The sequence below is a fragment of the Homo sapiens genome, chromosome 19 (assembly GCF_000001405.40).
Source record: "Homo sapiens chromosome 19, GRCh38.p14 Primary Assembly".
NCBI classification, from domain to species: domain Eukaryota; kingdom Metazoa; phylum Chordata; class Mammalia; order Primates; family Hominidae; genus Homo; species Homo sapiens.
In genome coordinates this window covers 31,518,453-31,540,299 of record NC_000019.10, presented here as the reverse complement: position 1 = coordinate 31,540,299, position 21,847 = coordinate 31,518,453, and the positions used below count along the sequence as shown (strand labels likewise).

The following is a 21,847-nucleotide window of genomic DNA, read 5'->3' as shown; positions in this document are numbered from 1 at the left end:
CTTGTGTGGGTCCAGACATGAGCCCCAGCTAGTCCCAGCAGCTCACAAAATGATAGGTAAAATGCCAGTGATGTGAGAAATAGGCACTCCCTGAGGGAAGGAGGTCAGGGCACAGATTTCACCCCATTCTTAAAAGAGATGGTGACCCCAAAGAGCTGAAGATGTTTCTTCTCACTGCTTCTGAACTGGGCTCTAAAGTCAGACAGACCTGGCTCCAACCTCTGCTCTTGCATGTGAAACTTATACAACCAGAGGCACTTCTTTGTCCTCCATGAGCTGCAGTTTCATCAACACTATAAAAGAGAGATAACAGTACTTCTACCTCAAGGAACTAATGTTAGGATCAAAGAAGGCATTGCACGTGAAAAGATTCCCCAAGCGCCTGGTGCACGGTAACCTCCAGTTGGCACATGTGTGTGGCAACAGTGCTGGTGGAAGCGATGGAATCTGCAGGGCTCTAGCCCTAAGCCTGACCATAACTCAAAAGTTCCTTTCAGGATTGTTGCCTCATCTGTAAAATGGGTACAGTAGTCCCAACCTGCTGCCTTATAGGGATGCTATGATGACGATAAGAAACAGTGGGAAGAAAAGAGTGTAAGGCTAGAGCAATGATACATGTAGCCTTTCCCCACCACAAAGTTTATTGGGGTGGTTCCCCTGACCCCATTACCAGGCACGGGGGCTGGGCCAGCCTATGCCAGAGGAGGACTGTGAGCTGGCAGAGGATCTGTGACCCTGATCACCAGGTGGCTTCCCAGAGCCCATAGCTCCAGATCTTCACCTTTTATACAAGCTCAAGGGTAGCTGGGGGCGGGGATATTGCCTTTTAATTTAGTAGGGAAAATAATTCACGTGCTTATAATGAAATGCGACAAGCAGAACATAACAAGTAAATACAATACAAACTACGTTGCAAGCCTCTAAGGTAACAGAAAATAACTAGTTTTAGTTGTTTTTTTATCTATTATGAGGAATGTCAAGCATTTGACAAGAGAGTATTTAATAAAAAATACTATAATTTGTATTTAAGCGATAGCAATAGATATTACATTTATTTTATTTCTATCCAAGGAGACAGGTTTGGGATTTCTTAAAGGAATTAGGAAATACAAAGTGAGAGGTTTAATGGGCCTGAGACGCACAGGCCGTAGGCTGGGGCTCCCTGGGGCTTACATGTGGGGACATAGCCAGCTGGAGGGCTGTGTGACCAGCACGTGCAGCCTCAGTGGAGAGCTAAGGGAGAGATGCGACTACACATGCCAGGGAAAATACTGAGGGACCAACTGGGGGCTGTGCTGGGTATCTTCACATGTGGTCCCTAGGGTCCCCCAGAAGGTCTCAGTCCCACTGGGGAGAGGGACCCATGACACATTTAGAGAGTAAATAAAACTCTAGGCAGACCTCATTAGCAAACCCCAGAAAAGATGCAGAGTTTTGTTCCAGCTTCATTGGTGATAGTAAAAAATCCACAATGCACATGCCCATCAAAAAGGGATCAGGGGGGCCGGGCACGGTGGCTCATGCCTGTAATCCCAGAACTTTGGGAGGCCAAGGTGGGTGGATCACGAGGTCAGGAGTTCGAGACCAGCCTGGCCAATATGGTGAACCCTGCCTCTACTAAAAATACAAAAATTAGCTGGGCGTGGTTGTGCATGCCTGTAGTCCCAGCTCCTCGGGAGGCTGAGGTGGAAGAATCGCTTGAATCTGGGAGGCGGAGGTTACAGTGAGCCGAGATCATGCCATTGCACTCCAGCCTGGGCAACAGAGTGAGACTCTGTCTAAAAAATATTAATTAAGTAATTATAAAGGGGATCTGGGAAACAAAATCCTACATCCCTCAGAGGATGGGATTTGGCCAGGCTGGATTTACAGGTGAGGGTGGGAGTCGACCTCTGTATTAGTTCATTTTCATGCTGCCAATAAAGACGTACCCGAGGCTGGGTAATTTATAAAGGAAAGAGGTTTAATGGACTAACAGTTCCACGTGGCTGGGGAGGCCTCACAATCATGGTGGAAGGTGAAGGAGGAGCAAAGGCACATCTTACATGGTGGCAGGCAAGACAGTGTGTGCAGGGGAACTCCCCTTTATAAAACCATCAGATCTCGTGAGACTTACTATCATGAGAATAGGACAGGAAAAACCCGCCCCCATGATTCAATTACCTCCCACCAGGTCTCACCCATGACATGTGGGGATTACAGGAACTGCAATTCAAGATAAGATTTGGAGTGGGTGGACAGAGCCAAACCGTAAAAACCTAAAAAATGCAATGGTGATGGAAAAAAGCAGAAGTGTTTTATGTAGATCTAAACACATGCATGTAACCAAAAAACATATGTAATTTACAAACGTGTGTGCGTGTGTGTGTGTGTGTGTGTGTAAACATAGATTAGAAGGATTTGGAGGAAAAGTCACAATAATGCTTCCTTCTGGAAGAAGAGAATGGAAGGGGATCAGGAAGAGATGTGTGGAGACCTTAAGAGTATAATGAAGCCAGCTTCCTGGATGGAACTCAGAATTTCTTGATTTTTTTTTAAACTTCTGCAACAAATATGGCAAATTTTGATTTTTGGTTAATTCTGAATGCTGCGGATTTTGATATTTCCCTTTTCTCTGTGTTTTTGGTATTTTTTCCCCAAAAGAGCAACCAAGGTGAACATTCAGATAGCAACATGATCAGGGTGGCTTCTTGGGGCCAGGAGAGGGTCTGGGAATGGGGTTGGCGACATAGAAGGTCAGGCAACCTGTCTCACCTTAATTTCATTACTACAGACAAGAAGGTTGGATTTAGATGTCTCCAGGGTGCATCTGGCTCTGGCGTGCTCACCCGCATCAACCAGCTGAAAAATCCTTTTGGAGCTTAGGAAGGAGAAGGCTGGCAGAGGAGCCAGTGAAATGACCAGAGCTTGACTTGAAGCCAAGAAGGGCTTGGACAGAGAGAGAAAGTGTATGGGCAGGACAGAGATGCGTGGGTTCCCCAGGAGGTGGGGGCAGCAGTAAGACTGGGTTATGGGAGGGTGAGAGGAGGGCCATTAGGTCATTGCACAGAGTGAGGATTTGGGGGGTCAGTGTCTCAGTGTGTGTACTGCCCAAAACATGTCTCTTGAGCCTGTGAGAGCTCAGAGCCCTTTGAGTGGAGCCACCACTCATCATGAACCCAGTATCACCACAGTGAAATGTCAGCCCAATGGCCAGATTCCAAGTTTTCAAGAGAAGCCAAAATCCCTTCTTTCTATGAAAGCTTTTAATTTTTAGATGTTAGCTCAACTTGTTTTTGTAACCCTATTGGAGCAGCACACGGATCTGGGAGCTGCATAGAGCCTCTAGAGATGGTCATGGGTGCTTGGACTCTGAGAACTTTCCATCTGTAGATTTGATAGGAAGAAAGACCCTAGATGGTCCCATCCTTCCTGCAACTGAATCTTATGGTGGCTGAGCCACTTCCCAGGCATGTGAACTCAGCCAAGTCTTTTAAACTCTCAGAGCCTCAGTTTCCTTAGGGAGTCAAATGGGAATCATTGGACCCAACTCATGGACTGCTGGGAAGATTAAACAATATCCCAAACACATGGGAACGCATTTAGAACATTGTGAAGTGCTGTTCACGCACAGAGCATTAATGCTGCCATTCATGTTGGTTGTTGTGAGTTTTTATAAGCAAAGGGTCTGTGTCAAATCCATTCAGCATCCTTCTGTCTTAACAACAAATGGACAAATATACCTAACAATTTCTCTTGCATGGCTCCATGCAGATGATGCTAGCGTTTGGAGTCTTTTGAGAGGCTGTTTCTGGTGTGGTCAGACCCTTAAATAGGCAGGAGTTTCCTGGGGTTTCCTGCTGGATCTGATGCCCAATCACCACCAGGTAGCATCACTGAGAAAGGAGCTCCCCTATCTGCTCCAGGTCTCATCTCCAGGAGCCCCTGGGTACTGCTGCACCTGCAGCTGTTCTCACTCGGCTGGGACCACACCACAGAAGAGAGATCAAGACTGACCTCCCAGGAAGACCACAAAGGCAAGAGGCCTCCAAAGGCTGCCATTGGAGAGGCACCCTGGAGGATGTTTGAGGAGAACATGCTCCCTGTCCTCGGGTGAACAGAGGGCATCATGTATGCGTGGGAGACGTAGTCCTGGTATTCCATATGATCCCAAGGGGGTGGAGTAGGACCCTTGAGTTGTGCAAATCAGAGTTGCATGTGTAAAATGGGTAGTTTCGCAAATGGAGAGCTGCCTCTCACTGGAGGAATTCCAGGCAAGGCGAATGGCCTTGGAAGAGGTATCAGTTACCATCTGAAGTGTAATCTGGCTACACACCCTGGGGAAAGGCTCCTTCTAGCGTAGGCTTCCAAGATACTCCAGCAACCAAGCATCACAAGCATCCCTGTGGAGCACAGACTGGGGCCTCTTCTGTAACCCAAGCTGGCTGATCCTCAGAGCAGGACAGACCCCACCATATCCATGGCCGATCACATAGCCCCCCACCCCAGGGTCTGTCCAGGTAGCCTGTGGCACAGCCAGAGCAATTAATAACTTTGGCATCTGGATGAGAGGCCCTGGCAGGTTTCTCCCATTCTCCATTTCCCTTCCCAGTGCCTGTGAATAAATTAATCCCCTAATACATAATTAACTCAGAGTTGAAAGGTGAAGTCAAACTTAACCAATTTACTGTTCTGGAGCTGGTTTAGTTCGGATCATGTGATTTTAATTCTTTCCGTATGACCAGGTGATGGGGAAGGAGGCAGGGGGAGAGGAAAATGCACAGATTAATTTCATTCCTTAACCTCCCTAATGTGCCTGCTTGCTTGCATCGTGTTGCAGACAGCAGATCATCACATGATTTATGGGACTGACCGCTGCCTGCATCTCTCAGGCTAATGACACACACACTAGAGTCATTGATTTGTATGAGTAGCCCCCACTCTTCATTTATCACAATTTAATGTAAGAGTTTGCAACGCAGAAAAAAAAATTCACATGGGAAACATGGACCCATAGGCCCCGCCACTAACCAGTTATGAATCATTTGCTGCCTTTTAATATATAGACTATTCTATTCTGGAAAATGCCCCGTAAGGTCATATTCTTCTCCTGAACATCCCGACAATTAAAGTCCCCAAGAAGCTGTTTTAAGATGCATGGTCCCCCAGCACCTTTGTTAGCTCACGCTCTCTTGTAATGCATGCTATCGATTTGCGTCTGAACTCTCCGGAACCCTTCATAAGCCATAACCCGCAAAAGTTTCTGAGGGCAGCGCTATGCAAGCTGAGTGTGTGATGCCCAGGAGCTCCACGCACGAGCCAGCCAGGCCGCATGTGGACATGGGGCCTGGCCCCTTCCCCACACAAGCACTGGGGCCAGCCCAAAGGGGCTTGTAGCTCTGAGGGCCATATCAACTCCCCCAAATTAAGGGCATTTAATTTCTGATTTTAAAAAGTGCCCAAAAGTTAAGAACTTGGAAGATTTTAAAAAGGAACTAAAGACATGATGAGCAACAATACTGGGAGAGACTGTATTTTTCAAACTGGAGAGAAGGCACCCTGAGCTAACACCTTTGGAACACTCAGAGCCTCAGAACAGCCTGGCACATCTTCCTGGAGGGACACTTTTAGTCCATACATTGGGAAGAAAAACATATAAATTTTAATTAAAATATACATAGCCCTGTTATATAATAAAATGGAACACACATTTTTTTCAAGATGAAACCTAAGCCTTCAAAATAATGTGCTTATGCAGGAACCTTGACTATTCCCAGAGCTGCTTGACTGTGGAGGGGTGATCTGTGGTCTAGGGTATTTAGGGGGGAAGGTTGGGAAGCATGGTTCTTATAAACCAGGGTCACAGACAAAGAGGCCTAAAGAGCAAAGCAGGCCAGGTGAGGACCAGAGCAGACAGGATCTAGGAGCCCATCTGCTGGGGAGAGCATGGCTCAGCTCTTGTTGGAGAACTATAGGCCCAGTATGGTCCCACTTCCTAATTTTCCAGGTATGTATAAAATCCTGATTTTTTAAAAAATGAAAAAAAAAACCTATATTTTTAAACCAAGATAATGGAAAGAACACAGTTTAGCCCAAACCGAATGCTGGAATCAGTGAGCAAGTCACACACTGTAGTGTGATCCGCTCATCACATGCATTCTCTCTCCCTCAGGAAGTACCTCTCATGCCACAGCCAGGAGGGGACTTGTTGCAAACTGTAGAGCTCTTTGGAAAGCAGTATTATTACCCCCCCAGCAGCAATAGAAAGAGCATTTTTCGGACAGGGCACGGTGGCTCTCACCTGTAATCCCAGCACTTTGGGAGGCCAAGGCAGGCAGATCACTTGAGGTCAGGAATTCGAGACCAGCCTGGCCAACATGGTGAAACCCTGTCTCTACTAAAAATACAAAAATTAGCCTGGAGTGGTGATGCATGCCTAGAATCCCAGCTATTCTGGAAGCTGAGGCAGGAGAATCACTTGAACCCGAGAGGTAGAGGTTGCAGTGAGCTGAGATCGTGCCACCGCACTCCAGCCTGGGCCATAGAGTGAGACCTTTTTCAAAACAAAAAACAAAACAAAACAAAAAAAACAAAAACAAACAAACAAACAAACAAAAAAGCATTTTTGTGGATCCCAGCATAGATTGCAGGTCAGGTTCAATCCCAAGGTTAAGAGCCCCAACTTAGAAGCTCTGGGTTTGGAGTAAAGAGAAAATAGTTGTCTATTCACCATATTTAAAAAAATCAGTGGGTATAAAATTTTGGTTATGCTACATGAGTACATTATAGAGATTTGCTGTACAACATAGTGCCTATGGTTAACAATGTTGTTCACTCAAAATTTGTTAAGAGGGTGGATCTCATTCATGTTAAGGATTCTTATCACAGGTCAGGCACAGTAGCTCATGTTGTAATCCCAGCACTGTGGGAGGCCAGGGCGGATGAATCATTTGACCCCAGGAGTTTGAGACCAGCTTGGGCAACTTGGTGAGACACTGTCTCTACAAAAGCTACAAAAAAAAAATTAGCTGGGCATGGGGGCTCATGCCTGTAGTCCCAGCTAATCAGGAAGCTGGAGTGGGAGGATGGCTTGAGTCTAGGAGACAGAGGCTGCAGTGAGTTGAGATCATGCCACTGCGCTCCAACCTGGGCAACAGAGCGAGATTCTGTCTCAAAACAAACAAACAAGCAAAGAGTTCTTACCATAAAGAAAAAAGCATCATGGCAACTCCAGGAGATGTTAAGTGTACCTACTACCTTGATTTTGGGGATGGTATCACAGGTGTTTTCATATTTCAAACTCATCAAATTGTACACATTAAACATGGACACAGAGAGGGGAACATCACACACAGGGGCCTGTCAGGAGGTTGAGGGAAAGAGGAGGGAGAGCATTAGGACAATTTCCTAATGCATGCCGGGCTTAAAACCTAGATGACGCGTTGATAGGTGCAGCAAACCACCATGGCACATGTATACCCATGTAACAAACCTGCACGTTCAGCACGTGTATCCCAGAACTTAAAGTAAAAGATTTTTTAAATGTGCTGTTTTTTGTGTATCCTTTATATTTCAATAAAACTGTAAAAATTGCTATCTAATTATAATATAGTATTTGACACTATTTTTTAAAATAAAAGACAATTCATAATAACTGCCCCCCAACAGACAAACAAAAAACACCCCCAAACACTCTATCACACTAGGGCTATTTATCAATTCTTGAATGAATTATTTTCTGAAAATAACCATTCTGAAGATGTCATCTTGGTTCCTTTAGTACTTTCATGCCATCATGTTTATTTTGTAGAAAAGTCTACCTATAATCCCGCATTGTTTTTCCAGAAGCACCCCACCCTCAGATTTTAGGGAAAGGGGGAAATAGAAAGAAATTCTGAAATAATGACCTGGTCTCTGCCTGATAAATTCTGGCGGTCTAATAAGCGGGACATACATATAGAAATCAATACCGGGGATGCAGGGCCTGTGATGCATCCACCTTTGTACCAAGCCCTGTGCTGCCTCTGGGGTAATGCAGCAGGCGTTCTGAAACATCTTGAATGAATGGGAGGCTTCACCCCTGACTGGAGCAGTGAGCTGCTGGTGCTGAATTATGAATCAGAAAGTGAGGCCAGCGCAGTTCTGACCAAAGTGATGTCAGGGATGGAGAAGATGCCCTTTCCAGATGTCCAGCGGGGGTTCACTGGTGGGTAGAGGTGGGTCAGAGAAGGAGCCCAGGGGAAAAACAGCAGTGTTGCTGGCTCCAGGCTGTCACTCTCACTCGCGAGCCCTCTTTGACTCTAGTGCCTCATCTGTTACTGGAGACGGTAATGCCTACCCAGTCCTCCCACCTGTGTCTGTCTTGAGGCTTTTGGTAGGATTGGTTTGTTTTTTCATTGATTGGTTTATATATTCATTCATTCATTCATTCATTCATTCAATACATGTAGATACTTCCTATGGGCCAGGCCCTGTGCCAGCAACCTGGGGGTAGAGGGGGAACAGGATAAGCAGGATTTTAGTCATCATGCTCTAGAGTGGAGGCAGAGCGTGCATTACTAAGAAAACACATCAGATCATTTCAGACGGAGGGAGTGGAACCTTACAATGGGTAGTCGGGGAAGTTCTCTAAAGAGGTGACATGTGAACTGAGACCTGAATGACAAGTGTTTGAGGACCTGCAGTAATTATTAGAGCTAATGACTGTGCAAAGGGCAGCAATGGGTCTGACACAGTTGGGGAACAGCAATCTGTCCAGTATGTCCAGAGCTGAGCTTCACTCATCTGAAGCCACCCCCAGGGCAGAGTGGGACGAGGTAGTTGAGGGCAGGGGGCAGAGAGGCAGCCAGGTACACAGCCAATGCTGACTCCTGTTCACAGCATCTGGGCTTGAGGGGGCAGTTAACAGAGACTAGGTGCTGCCCTCTAGGAATCCACAGGCTGAGGGGGGAGGTGCATCCCAGAGTCATCAGATGGCAAGGTGAGGTCTCTGCAGGAGATCTGAGGGACAGGAGTCTCAGAAGGAAGACGATGAATTTGCAGAGAAGTGGAGGGTGGGAACTGCATGTCCAAGACATGGGCTGGAAAGTCTAGGGAACCAGGTCAGCTGTTGGTGTGGCCAGACCTCCAGCTGGATGCACAGGAGGGCTGCAGGTAAGAGAGGAGGCCAGCAGGGAGTGGTAATAGATGAGGCAGAGAAAGAGAAGAGTAAGTGGAAGGACTCAAGCCCCATCTGCGGGGCTCCCCATCAGGGCTGAGCTAGTAGCTGCAATGGCCCATGGTTTCCGGAGTGGCCAGACAGACAGCCCCAAGGATCCTTTATCAGACAGAGGACAGCTACATAGAGACCTCCCGGACCTCGACTTTCCACCCAGAAGGGGCCACTCTAACATCCCCAACAATGCGGACAGCTGGGCCAGCACCACAACAAACGCCAGGTGAGCACCGGCCCATGGCTGACACTGGGCTATAGATCTGTGTGTTCTGCAAAAGCAGGTAGTATCTCATTGTCAGCAGCTGTCACACTTGCACTGCCTCACCACCACCTGCAGGCCAAAAGCCAGTCTCCAGGCACCTGGGTGGGCTCCTTGAGTGTGCCACTGTTTTGTTTTTTTTTTTTTTTTCCTGAGATAGAGTCTTGCGCTGTCCTTCAGGCCTTTAGGCTGGCGTGCAGTGTTGTGATCTCTGCTCACTGCAACCTCTGCCTCCTGAGTTCAAGCAATTCTCATGCCTCAGTCTCCTGAGTAGCTGGAACCTCAGGCATGCACCACCACGACCGGCTAATTTTCATATTTTTAGTAGAGATGGGATCTCGATGTTGGTCAAGTTGATCTCGAACTCTTGACCTCACGTGATACACCCGCCTCAGCCTCCCAAAGTGCTGGGATTACAGGCATGAACCACCATGCCCAGCCTAACCACTGCCTTCTCCTAAAACTGTTGCTGTATGCTGTCTGCTCATTTAGTCTTCCTATTAATTTGTAAGGTAAGCACAGTTACCAGTATTTCATGCAAGCAAGCAGGCTCAGAAACACTAACTGACCTGTTCCAGGTTTCACAGTTAACAGGTAATGGAGCTAGTGTTATAGGACTCATGTCTTTGGGGTTCACAAGGCAGTTTTAGGGGCTAGAAAGATACCATGCTTTATCCTACATTTTCCTGAAAGCTGAGCTGGAGCCCAGGGTTATGTGGAGGTGGCCTATTTGGGAGGTGACTCTATGGAACAGGGGTAAGGCACTAAAGGAGATAAAATCATTCTACTCAGTATCTATCCAAAGGAAAGAATATGAGTATGGCAAAGGGATACCTACACCCCCATATTCACTGCAGCACTATTCACAATTGCAAAAACATGAAATCAACCTAAGTGTCCACTCATGAATGAATGGGTAAAGGAATACTATTCAGCCAGTAAAAATAATGAAATTCTGTCCTTTGCTGCAACATGGATGGAACTGGAGGTCATTATGTTGAGTGAAATAAGCCAGGTACAGAAAGACAAATATCACATGTTCTCACTCACATGTGGGAGCTAAAAAGTTGATTGCATGGCAGTAGAGGGTAGAATGATAGTTACCAGAGGCTGGGAAGGGTGTGGGGGCTGTGGGCAGGGCAATGAAGAGAGGTCGGTAAATGGGTACAAACATACGGTTAGAAGAAATAAGTTCTAGCATTTGATAGCACAGTAGGGTGACTGTTGTTAACAAGAATATATTGTGTATTTCAAAATAGCTAGAAGAAAAGATTAGCAATGTTCCTAACACAAAGAAATGATAAAGATTCAAGGTGATGGTTATGCTAATTACCCTGATTTGATCATTACACATTGTATGCCTGTATTAGAGTATCACAAGTACCTCATAAATATGTATAATTATTATATATCAATAAAAATAAACAAATTCTATTTTAATTTAAAAAAAACAGAAAGGAGAGAAGGCTGATTCAACAGCAGCCAAGCAAGGTGCCCTGAGGGCAGGAAGCAGGAATGTGGGATGGGGCCTGGGTGGGGATTTTTAGATCAACTTGCACACAACAGGAGAAAATGGCTGGCCAGAGACTTAAAGCTGAGGCACAAAGTAGCAAATGACGTGGATTCCATGATGAGAAAATTACCCCTCTACATTTTTCATTCCATCCTGAGGCTTTCTGTTAAGTGATACCTACCTCAGAGCTGGGGCATGGGGCTGAATTTAGCTACAATTTACAAATAATGTTTAATCATTGTATTTATTGAACTGTTGTTTCCTATCTATGTCTAATAATAGGGGCTTCCCATTGGTGATAATTGTAGAATGTTTCTTTTAACGACACAGGTCCAGCATGGTACCTCAGGCCTGTAATCCCAGTGCTTTGGGAGGCTGAGGCTGGAAGATCGCTTGAGCCCAGGAATTCGAGGCTGCAGTGAGCTATGATGGCGTCACTGCACTCCAGCCTGGGCGACAGAGTAAGATCCTGTCTCAGCACAAAAAACTAACAAAAAAAACACACTTGGTTCTGTAAAAGGGGTAAGTGGATGTAATGAAAATATAATTAGTGAGCGGTAAAGGGCCCAGAGACATGGTGGATGTGGTAAGAAGAGACCCAGGAACGGCGAGAAATCAAGTGAAGGCTGCGGCTCCGTCCTGAGCTCATTGCTCCCTGCAGACACCCTGATCCTGCGTGCAAGCCTGGTCCTGTTTTCCAATCAGGCCATCTCCTTCAAACAAGCACTGCTTGTATTAATGACGGTGATAGCAACAATGACTGCAGTAATAACAATAAGCATCATAGCAGAAATTGTCATGTCTGATGGAAGTTTCTTGTTTGCCAAATGCTCTCACATCTGTTATGGCATCTGCATGGGGCCTCTGTGTCTGCACCTTCCATAGAGACCACTTGGGCCAGGGGAGCCCTGGACTACCAGGCTGGACTCAGTGAACAGCTACTAATTAACTGATTGATTGATTGATTTTAAACACTTATAAGAGGCCATGGGGGGAAGCCAGCCTTCCACAAGTTCTGTTTGCTCATTAGAAACTAGTCACTGTGAGGGTACTTTCGCCTTTAACTGATTAATGTACATCTACTGCTCTGGACTGACAGCCTCATGAGGGCAGGGTCTCTTCCTGGTCCCAATATACAGCAGGTGCTCAGTAAATGCTGAAGCATGAATATCACTGCTTTTAAAGAGGATTTCTTCCTTCCACGAGGTCTGGTGAGGATGCTGAGTGAAGGAGAGGGACTCTGAGTTGTAGGAGTTCCTTCCCTCATAGCCAGGCCCTGGTGCCTGGCAGATTGTCGGGAATGTTAAATGCACCCATGATCACAACAAAGCTCTGGACAGCTTAAATCCCTGCCAAAAACTGAGGCCTTGGTTGTGTGACATGATTGTGTTATTATTACTGTCAAGTCACATTGTGAAATAAGCTTATTTAACCTGCACAAATTCAGCAAAATGCAGTTGTAGAGGGAGAAGAGCAGAGAGAAATTTTCGCATCCCACCCTCCCTTCTCTGATGACATCTCTGCTAAATTGTGCACCCTTCTTCTGGTCCTTGGAGGTTTGTCCATGCAGGTCACCTCCAAGGAGGTTTTGGTCCTGCCCACAAGCTCCATCAAGCTTGGCATTCTGAACTCCTGGGTGTGGAGAGGCCACTCTGTGGGTCCTGCCTCATCCTGGGCTTCCCTCTGACCTGGAGCCTGTGTGCATGGACATACTACCCAGCCAGTGTAACTCAGAGGCTGGCCCAGGCAATTGGGCCCTTTCTTCTCTCCCTTTCCTTCTACAGCCATTTGGTGGATCCCACAAAACTGATTGGGGCTGTGCTGCCTCTTTGCACTTGGCCTGGAAACAAAGCCCTCACCCTTCTGTTTCCCTTCCTTCATTCCTCCCAGATTTAACTCAGACTGGTTTCCAATCTGACAGCCCACACTCCTGGCCCTTCATCATCATCTCTCTCTCCTGAATCTGTCCTCTGAGACTTGCCCCTGCCCTAGGGCCTAGGCTTCTGGAAATCTACAGTCAGAAAAGACTCCTTTCTTTGCCTGCTTTCTGCTGCTCTATTCTGCCCAGGGCCTAAGAGATAGAACAAAATGAACTGAGGGATAAATGAAAGAGAGGAAGAGCAGGGAAGATTGGCTAATATTTTAGAATATTATCCCACTACTCTTCTTAGCTAAAATGCATTATCTCATTAAGTTTCATTTTTATTCCCATTTTATAGATTAGGAAACTGAGGGTTGGTGGGGCTAAGTGGCTTCTGCAGGGTTATGATTAATGAATTATGGGCCATGATTTACATCCAGGTGTGTCTGAACCCAGAGCTTACTTCACAAGTGCGTTAGCCTATCCATCCCTCCAGAAGAAAGCTAGCAGCTCAGGAGAAGAGGCAGCCAGCTGGGCCAGGAAGTAAGAAAATAAGGTAGCTCTGAAGCCCCCAATCTCCAGCAGGCATCCTACATGGTGTCTGCAGACAAAACCACTCACCACTTAAGTTCAACACTTGAAGTTTGCAGAAGCAAGTTTCCTTAGTAACCTAGTCTTTGTGATTTGGGGAGCTCACATAAAGTACAACTGATTTTTAGTTTAATTTCCTTCTTGGAATAGAATCAGTTATGTCTGCTGGTGTTGACACAGATGGGCACCCTTAGTTTGCTGCTGTGGTTCATTTTGGCATCTGCTGTTGTTTCCTGGTGTCACAGAGGGCCAGACTATGAGTAGCAAGGAATGAGTGTGCTCAGAGATGGGAAACTGTTCACTTTTAGCTCTCCACTCCCGACAAACTTTTTCTGGTGTTTGGCCTAGAAGGGATACTGTATCCCTTTGCTTCATGTGTGCCAGCTATGGTGTGGCAACTATGTCATGGCTTATTTTACTTTTTCTTCATATCAAGCTTGTTATTTTACAGACAACTTTACCATGACACTGAGGAACAAACATGTAAAGTGATTTGCCTAAGATTACATAGTGAGTGAGTAAGAAAGCCAGGATTTGATCCTGTTCTTTATGGTTAGAGGCCATTTTCTTAGTTTGGAACTTCACATTAAAAGTTAATAATAAAAGTAATTAAACATATAAGAACAATTGCAAAAAGTAAGGAAAGATATGCAAGTATACTGTTCTAAGATTCTTATAAAGTATGTTAAGTGGCATGATATTATTTGAAAGTAAATTGGTAAGTTAAAAAATACATGTTGTAAACTTTAGAAAACTAAAATACAAAATGGTAGTGGAAATAAAATGTAGTTAAAAAATAACTAATCCAAAAGAAGACAGATAAAAAGAACAAATGGGAAAATTAAAAAACAAATAGCAAGATGATAAACTTAATCATATTAAAAATTACACTAAATGTAAATGGTCTAAATATTTTGATTAAAAAAAGTCAGCTTGGATATAAAAACACGACTTGTCTAAAAGAAATGCACTTTAAATACACGGCACAGAGAGGACAAAAGAAAAAGAATGCCGACATGTTCTTCAACAGATAAGTGAATAAACAAACTGTAGTATAGCTATCCAATGGAATAACCCTACTCAGCAATAAAAAGAAATGGGCTATTGCTTTACACAAAATGAATAAATCTTAAGTGCATTTTGCTAAATGAAAGAAGTCAGACACAAAGTTTACTTATTTTCTGATTCTATTTATATAATATTATAGAAAAGACAAAATTATGGGTACAGAAAACGTATCAGGGATTGCCAGGGGTTAGGGAGTGGGGAGGTGTTGACTATAACAAGACAGAGAAGAAAATGTTTAGAATGGATGAAGCTATTCTGTATGGTTCTTGGGTGGTAGATAGATGGTACTGCTTTTTTATCTCAAAATCAACATAACTGTACACTACAAAGAAAACTTTACAGTATGTGATATTCTTTAAGAAGTCAACCAGGATATTGAAAGATCCCAGGATGGAATGTAGACCTTGACAAATGAATCTAACTTTATTAAAATATGACAAAATATCACCACTGGGATGAAGAAAAAAAGGGGCTGACCTAAATAAAAACAACAACAAAAAAAACTATATATAAACACAGTACCTTAGGTAGTAAATGTGTTTCTCACAGGGATATATTTAGCAATTATAAAACTACTTTACATATAAAAACTAGTAATTTATAAATAAAGGAAGCCAAGTTTCTCACTGTTAGAGAAAGAAATTACAAATAAGCAAGGGGTTGGGAAAAGGGACAAATGTTTGAATAATTTTATACAATAAACATTATGTGTATATACATGTACAGTATATATATTTATATATGTATATTTAAATATAAAATTATAGGTGTGTGTGTGTGTATGTGTATGTGTATGTGTATATACACACACATACCTATAACTCTATAACTTTACATATAAATACTCTCTCCCCTCTAGGAAGTATAACTTAATTCTTTAATTCTGGGAACTTGGTGACTCACTTTCAATGAATACAGTATGGAAAAAAAAATAGTAACTTTACAGTGAAGAGACCTGGCAGACTTAACCAAATGATCAAAGTTAACATCAGTAATAGTGTCATTTTTATCATTTCTGCCCCTAAAAGATGTAATGAGGACACTTCACATTCTATAATCCCAGTATAAACATGAGAATATGTCAGACAAACCCGAATTGAGAAACAGTCTACAAAATACCTGGCTAGTACATTTTAGATGCATAAAGGCAATGACAAACAATAAAAAGACTGAGAAATCTTCATGGACCAGAGGAGACTAAGGTGACACAATAACGAAATACAAATGTGGACTCTTGGATAGACTCCTGGAACATGAAAGGAAACTAGTAGCAAACCTGGGGAAATCCAGGTAAAAAATGTGCTTTAGTTCCTAATAATGCACCAATGTTAATTTCTTAATGTTGACAAATCTGCCATAGTTGTTTAAGATGTTAACATTAGGGACAGATGAGTGACAGTTATGCAGAGAATCTCAGTACTATCTTTGCATTCCTCTGTAAATCCAAAATTATTCAAAAAATTTTAAGTAAAAGAATGAAAAATTCTACACCATATAAACACTAATCAAAGGTAAGGTGGGGGTAGCTATATTAGTATCAGAGAAATATATTTCAAAGAAAAGAAAGTTACCAGTGATAATGAAGTACATTTCATAAGGATAAAGGGATCAATTTATCAAGAAGTTATAACACACGTAAATGCTAAATGCATGTACACTTCATAAAGCTTTAAATTACATTAAAACAAAAACTGAAAGAACTGAAAAGAGAAATGGAAAAATCAGTGATCATTGTTCAAGATTACAACATTCATCTCTCAGTAACTGAAAGAATATACAGACAAAATGCAACAAAGATACAGAAGATTTGAATACCACAATCACTGTGGTGTGCTAGAACTAGCTTGCACTGGCTAGTGAAAGCAATTTCATTTGTGACAGCACAATGTGGTGACAGCACATTGTTAGCTTAAAATCAGCATTGATAAGAATGCATATCCACAGAAGGTATCAAATACTATGTATCAGGACTTTTTCTTTCCAGATATTCAGTTAAACGTTCCCCAGAACACCACTGTCAATCAACCAAAACTGAGTGACATTTAGGGACATTTAGAGAAAATCCTAAAAGAGTAGAATGCACATTTTTTCAAGTCTATATGGGTCATTCACTAAGGTAGCTCATATTCTAGGTCATAAAATAAGTTTAAATAAATTTTTAAAAAATTGAAAAATAAGAAGTATATTCTCTGACCATACTGGAAATAACCTAGAAATCAATAACAGAAAGGTATCTGGAAAAACCACAAACATTTGAAATTTAAAAACATACTTCTAAAAATCCATGAGTGAAAAAAGAAATCACAGGAAAAATAAAACAACATTATGGCCTGGAAATAGTATGAACTGAATTTTAAAAAATCAAAATGTGTGGGTTGTAGATAAAGTGATAATTAAGGAAATTTGTTATATTTAAAAGCTTACATTAGAAAAGAAGAAAAAACTAAACTCAATGATTGAATTTTTACTTGAAGAAACTAGAAAACGAAGAGCAACTGAAACCCAAAGTGAGCAGAAAGAAAGAACATTATAAAGACTGGACATTAATAAAATAGAAAACAGATAATTGAGTAAATCTATGGAAACAAAATTTGGTTCTTCAAAGTATCAATAAATGAAGAAAATTTAAAAAGACTAAATAATAAAAAAGAAGGGGAAAAAGGAACACAGCAATTACCAATATTAGGAGTTAAAGAACAGACATCACTTCATATCCCACAGACCTTGAAAGGATAATAAGGAGATATGAGAAATAACTTCGTGTCAGTAAATTCAATAACTTGTAAGAAATTGTCAAATTTCTTGAGAGATACAAATTATCGAAGCATACTTAAGAAGGAGCAAATAACCGGAATAGGCTTTTATCTATTAAAGAAATGGAATTCATCATTTGAAAACTTTTGACAAAGAAAATCTCAGGCCTAGTTTACTTGAATGATGAATTCTATTGTTTATTTATAGAATAAACAATACCAGTTCTATACAAACGCTCCAGAAACTATAGGAGAAGAAATATATCCTCAATCATTTTACACAGCCAGCCTTAATCTGATATGAAAATAACAAGAAGACATTACTATAAAACAGAACTACACATTAACACGCCTTATAAATATTCATCCAAAAACCCCTAACAAATTTTAACAAATTAAATCCAGAAAAATACAAATATAATAATATATCATGACTAAATGGGCTTATCCAACAAATGGCAGACTAGTTTAACATTCAAAAGTTAATCATTGCAATTTACCTTATTAATAAACTAAAAAACACAAACTTTTACAATAAATTCTGCTGTAACACTTGTTTTGAAATGTGAATTTGTTTCAATGCAATTCACGTGTTAAGAACAATTTGAACTTTGTGTTTGCTTATGCACAATTTTGCTATCAAGGAAAACTAGATGAATGCAAAAAACTGCACTGAGCTGAAATCAGCTATGTAGTAATATGTGGAAAACAGTGGTACCATTTTTATTAGGTTCTCATCTTTTCTTTTCTTGTGTGTGTCACTGATAAAGGTTTTTAGTGTGGTGCCTGTCACCCCAATTTTTCCATAAGCACTGAGGTTTTTCTTGCAAGATTTTAAATAGCATAGCAGGAACTAATTGCAATCATAGATACTGAAAAAGCATTGGACAAAATTGAGCAGCAATTCATGAATAAAAACTGTTAGCAAACTAAGAATATAGAGAACTTCTTCAACTAGATTAAGAGTATCTATGACAAACCTACAGCTAAGTTCCTATTTAATGATGAAAGATTAAATCTTCCCCTACGACTGGGAAAAAGGCAAGGAAGTCTGCTTTCACCACTTTGATTAAAATTTACAGTGGAGGTCCCATATAGGACAGTAAGTCAAGAAAAACAAATAAAAGACATACAGATAATACGATAATCTATGGAGGAAATCCAAGAAATCTATAAAATAAGATAGAATTAATAAGTCAATTTAGCAATGAAACAGAATATATGGACTAGACATAAAAATATACAACATGGGAGAGTGGGGATCATTAATGTGTAAAAAATTAGTCAGAAACAATGAAAAAGACCTAGTATTTGATAGCACAACAGTGTGACTACAGTAAATAATAATTTGATTCTACATTTAAAAATAACTAAAAGAGTATAAGTGGGTTGTTTGTAACACAAAGGATAAATACTTGAGGGAATGGATACCCCATTTTCTGTGACGTGATTATTACAAACTGCATGCCTATATCAAAATATCTCATGTACTCCATAAATAAACACACCTATTATGTACCCACAAAATTAAAAATTAAAAAAGGAATAAAAATAAAAATGTACAACAAATTTTTATAAAGCAAAGTTTTAAAATACCTTTTATAATAGTATGAAAAATATTAATAGGAATAAAATAAACAATGTGAGAGGCATATTCTGAAAACTACAAATTATTACTGAGATAAAATAGAAAAGACTTATATACATTGAGAGGTGTAACATGCTGAAATAACAATATATGCACATGGAAAATATAAACCTCATTTCTTAGCTCACATTATACATAAAAATTAACACTTCTAGAGGAAAATAGAAAAGAAAACCCTGTGATCTTGGCCTAAGTAAAAATTGCTTACATAAGACACAAAAAACACAAACCATAAAAGAAAAAATGAATAAATGACTTATCAAAATTAGAACTTTTAGTCTTTGAAAGACATGTCTAAGAAAATGAAAAGCCACAAACTATGAGAATATATTTGCTAGAAATATCTGAAAAAGGAGATACACCCAGAATATATAAGGAACTGGCACAACTCAAATATAAGAAGATAATCAATCTAAATGGGCAAAAGATTTGAACTGGCCTTTCACCAAAGAAAATATTATGAATGTCAATTAAGGACATGAACAAATGCTCAACATCATTAGTTTCTAAGGAAATGCAAATACTACCACAACAAGACACTACTGTACATACACAAGAATGGTAAAATTAGAAAGACTGACAATACCAAGTGTTGGTGAGGATGTGGAGCAATTGGAATGTTAAACATTACTGGCAGGAATACAGCCACTTTAAAAAATAGAAAGTTTCTTATAATGTAAATATCTATTTATCATATGGGCCAAAATCTCACTCCTAGATATTTGTCCAAGATAAGTGAGAACATATTAACACAAAAACTTGTACCTAAATGTCCATAGCAGCGTTATTCAGAATGGCCTTAAGCTGGAAACTACTTGCATGTCTAAAACTGGAGCATCGATAAATCATTTTATGGTATATACATACGGTGGAATACTACTCTGCAATATAAAGAAAAACACACAGCAAATCAAACACACTACAAAAATCAAACTAATCAAACACACAACAAAATGCCTAACTCTCAAAAACAGCATGCCAAGTAAAAGAAGCCAGATATAAGAAAGAAGCTGGTACATATTATATAATTCCACTTAGGCGAATTTCTAGAAAAAGAAAAACTATAGTGACTGAACTATCAATACTCACTAGGAGCTGTAGGAGATTGAAAGCAAGGGGCCAGGGACATGAAGAAACATTTTGGGGTGATGCATTCTAAATCCTGATTATGGTGGTGGTTCTGAGGTAGGAGGTGGGACTCGACTCCAAAGGTTGGGCTTGAACACTGGACCAAATTGAGAAATAGCTGAAACAGGGGTGGAGTGGAAGCAGCTTTCCTTGAGACATGCCTACCATTGTGCCATGTCAGTTTGCCATTGCCATGGCCACACTCCATGGCAACACCCTGCCCCTTTCCATGGCAATGACCCAGTGACCTGGAAGTTGCCACCCTTTTCCTAGAAATTTCTGCATAATCTGCCACTTAATTTGCATGTAATTAAAAGTGGGTATAAATATGTCTGCAGAGGTGCCTCTGAGCTGCATGTCCAGGCACACAGTCTGTAGGGTGGCCCTGCTTTGCAAGGAGCAGTCCCTCTGCTGCTGTGCATGGCCTTTTCAATAGAAGCTGCTGTCTAATACCACCGGCTCCCCCTTGAATTCTTTCCTGGGCAAAACCAAGAAACTTCCCAGGCTAAGCCCTAGTTTTGGGTCTTTCCTGTCCTGCATCATTTCCACAAAGGTACACATTTTCCAAAACTTAACAAAAGGTCAGTACACTTAAAGCAGATTGCCTATATTGCATGTAAATTATACTTCAATAAAAATAATTTTTAAACAGGGATGATGGACGTTAGGGAAGCCTTGGGACAAGAAAGTGGACTTGGGCCAAGGACCTCCTGGAACATCTGTCTAAACAGATGTTTTCTGTGAAGGGTAATGAGGATCCTCTTTAAAGAAAGCTGTCTGGGCAGAGAGGTCGGTTCATAGATGGCTTCAGGCAGTGAAATGAGTGCTGGGTTTTTCCAGATGAGCTGGGTTTAACCACAGCTCCTCTCTTAAAAAAGACATGAGGGTTGCCAAACTCCTTGTCTTCCCTGAGCCTTGTGTTTTGTGTCCCAGCCTGTATCATGTGTATTGAGCTCACCCTGCTCTGCTCAGACGGCTGTGCTCACCATATAAGTTGAGATGGGTTGAAAAAGCTCTACAAACTTCAGAATTCTGTGCACACGTGAAAGGAGACGCAAGGAAGCTAGGGTCCAAAGTGGCAGGATGAGTTTTAGGTTTTAAAATCGTGTGAGTGCACACAATTTTAAAATTGCTCTTTGCATTGGGCAGGAAGGGAAAAGAGAGGCTCCTTTCTTCTCACTGGGTATTTTGAACACTTATCTTGGGCTTCAGTGAGTTTGTTTAGATTTAAAGATATGTTGTCTGCGACCCTCCAGATCAAAGAGAACGAAGCTCCTACGTATGGAGGCCCTTACGGGCCAAACTAGATAATGTCATTATCCTATAAACAGGTGATAACGGCAGAGCCAGGCTCATCTCAAACTAATCCAGTTCTAATCCCTTCAAGGGTCTGGAAAGATGTCAGAGAATAAAAGGCCACTGCCACTTAGCAAGCTGTATCTTGTGAGTGGATTTGTCACCCTTCAGGCCCGAGCATCTGTCTGGTTGTCTAGACATGACAGGCGTGGTGGGCTGTGGGGAGGGTGTGGGAGGCACTCCCTTTTCACATGACTGAGGCTGGAGCAATCCTGTGCTCCTTCCCCCTCCTAGGTACCGGGATTCCAAGAAGGATAACTGCTGATGGTCCCTTAACCACAACGACTACAGCAATCAAAATTACTCACAAATACCGAGCCCACATCATGGTCTTGTGTACTTATTTTTGTTTTAGAAACGATTAAATAGAGGCTGAGAGACAGGAAGCAATGTCCAAGATCACAGAGCAAGAGAGAAGCACAGCCAGATTCCAGCTCAGGGAGTCTGATCCTAGAGCTTCTGCAACCACTGTCTCTC

At 41.8% G+C, this 21,847-nt stretch overlaps 1 long non-coding RNA gene across 1 annotated transcript in view; it reads right to left on the bottom strand.

The window, feature by feature from the left end:
• Window positions 1–20,113, bottom strand: part of LINC02841 (long intergenic non-protein coding RNA 2841) — a 34,617-nt gene extending 14,504 nt beyond the window's left edge. The window contains exon 1 of the long non-coding RNA NR_184026.1: window positions 19,976–20,113. This is a non-coding gene — a long non-coding RNA (long intergenic non-protein coding RNA 2841). The remainder of the gene's footprint in view (window positions 1–19,975) is intronic.
• Window positions 20,114–21,847: the final 1,734 nt, after the last annotated feature.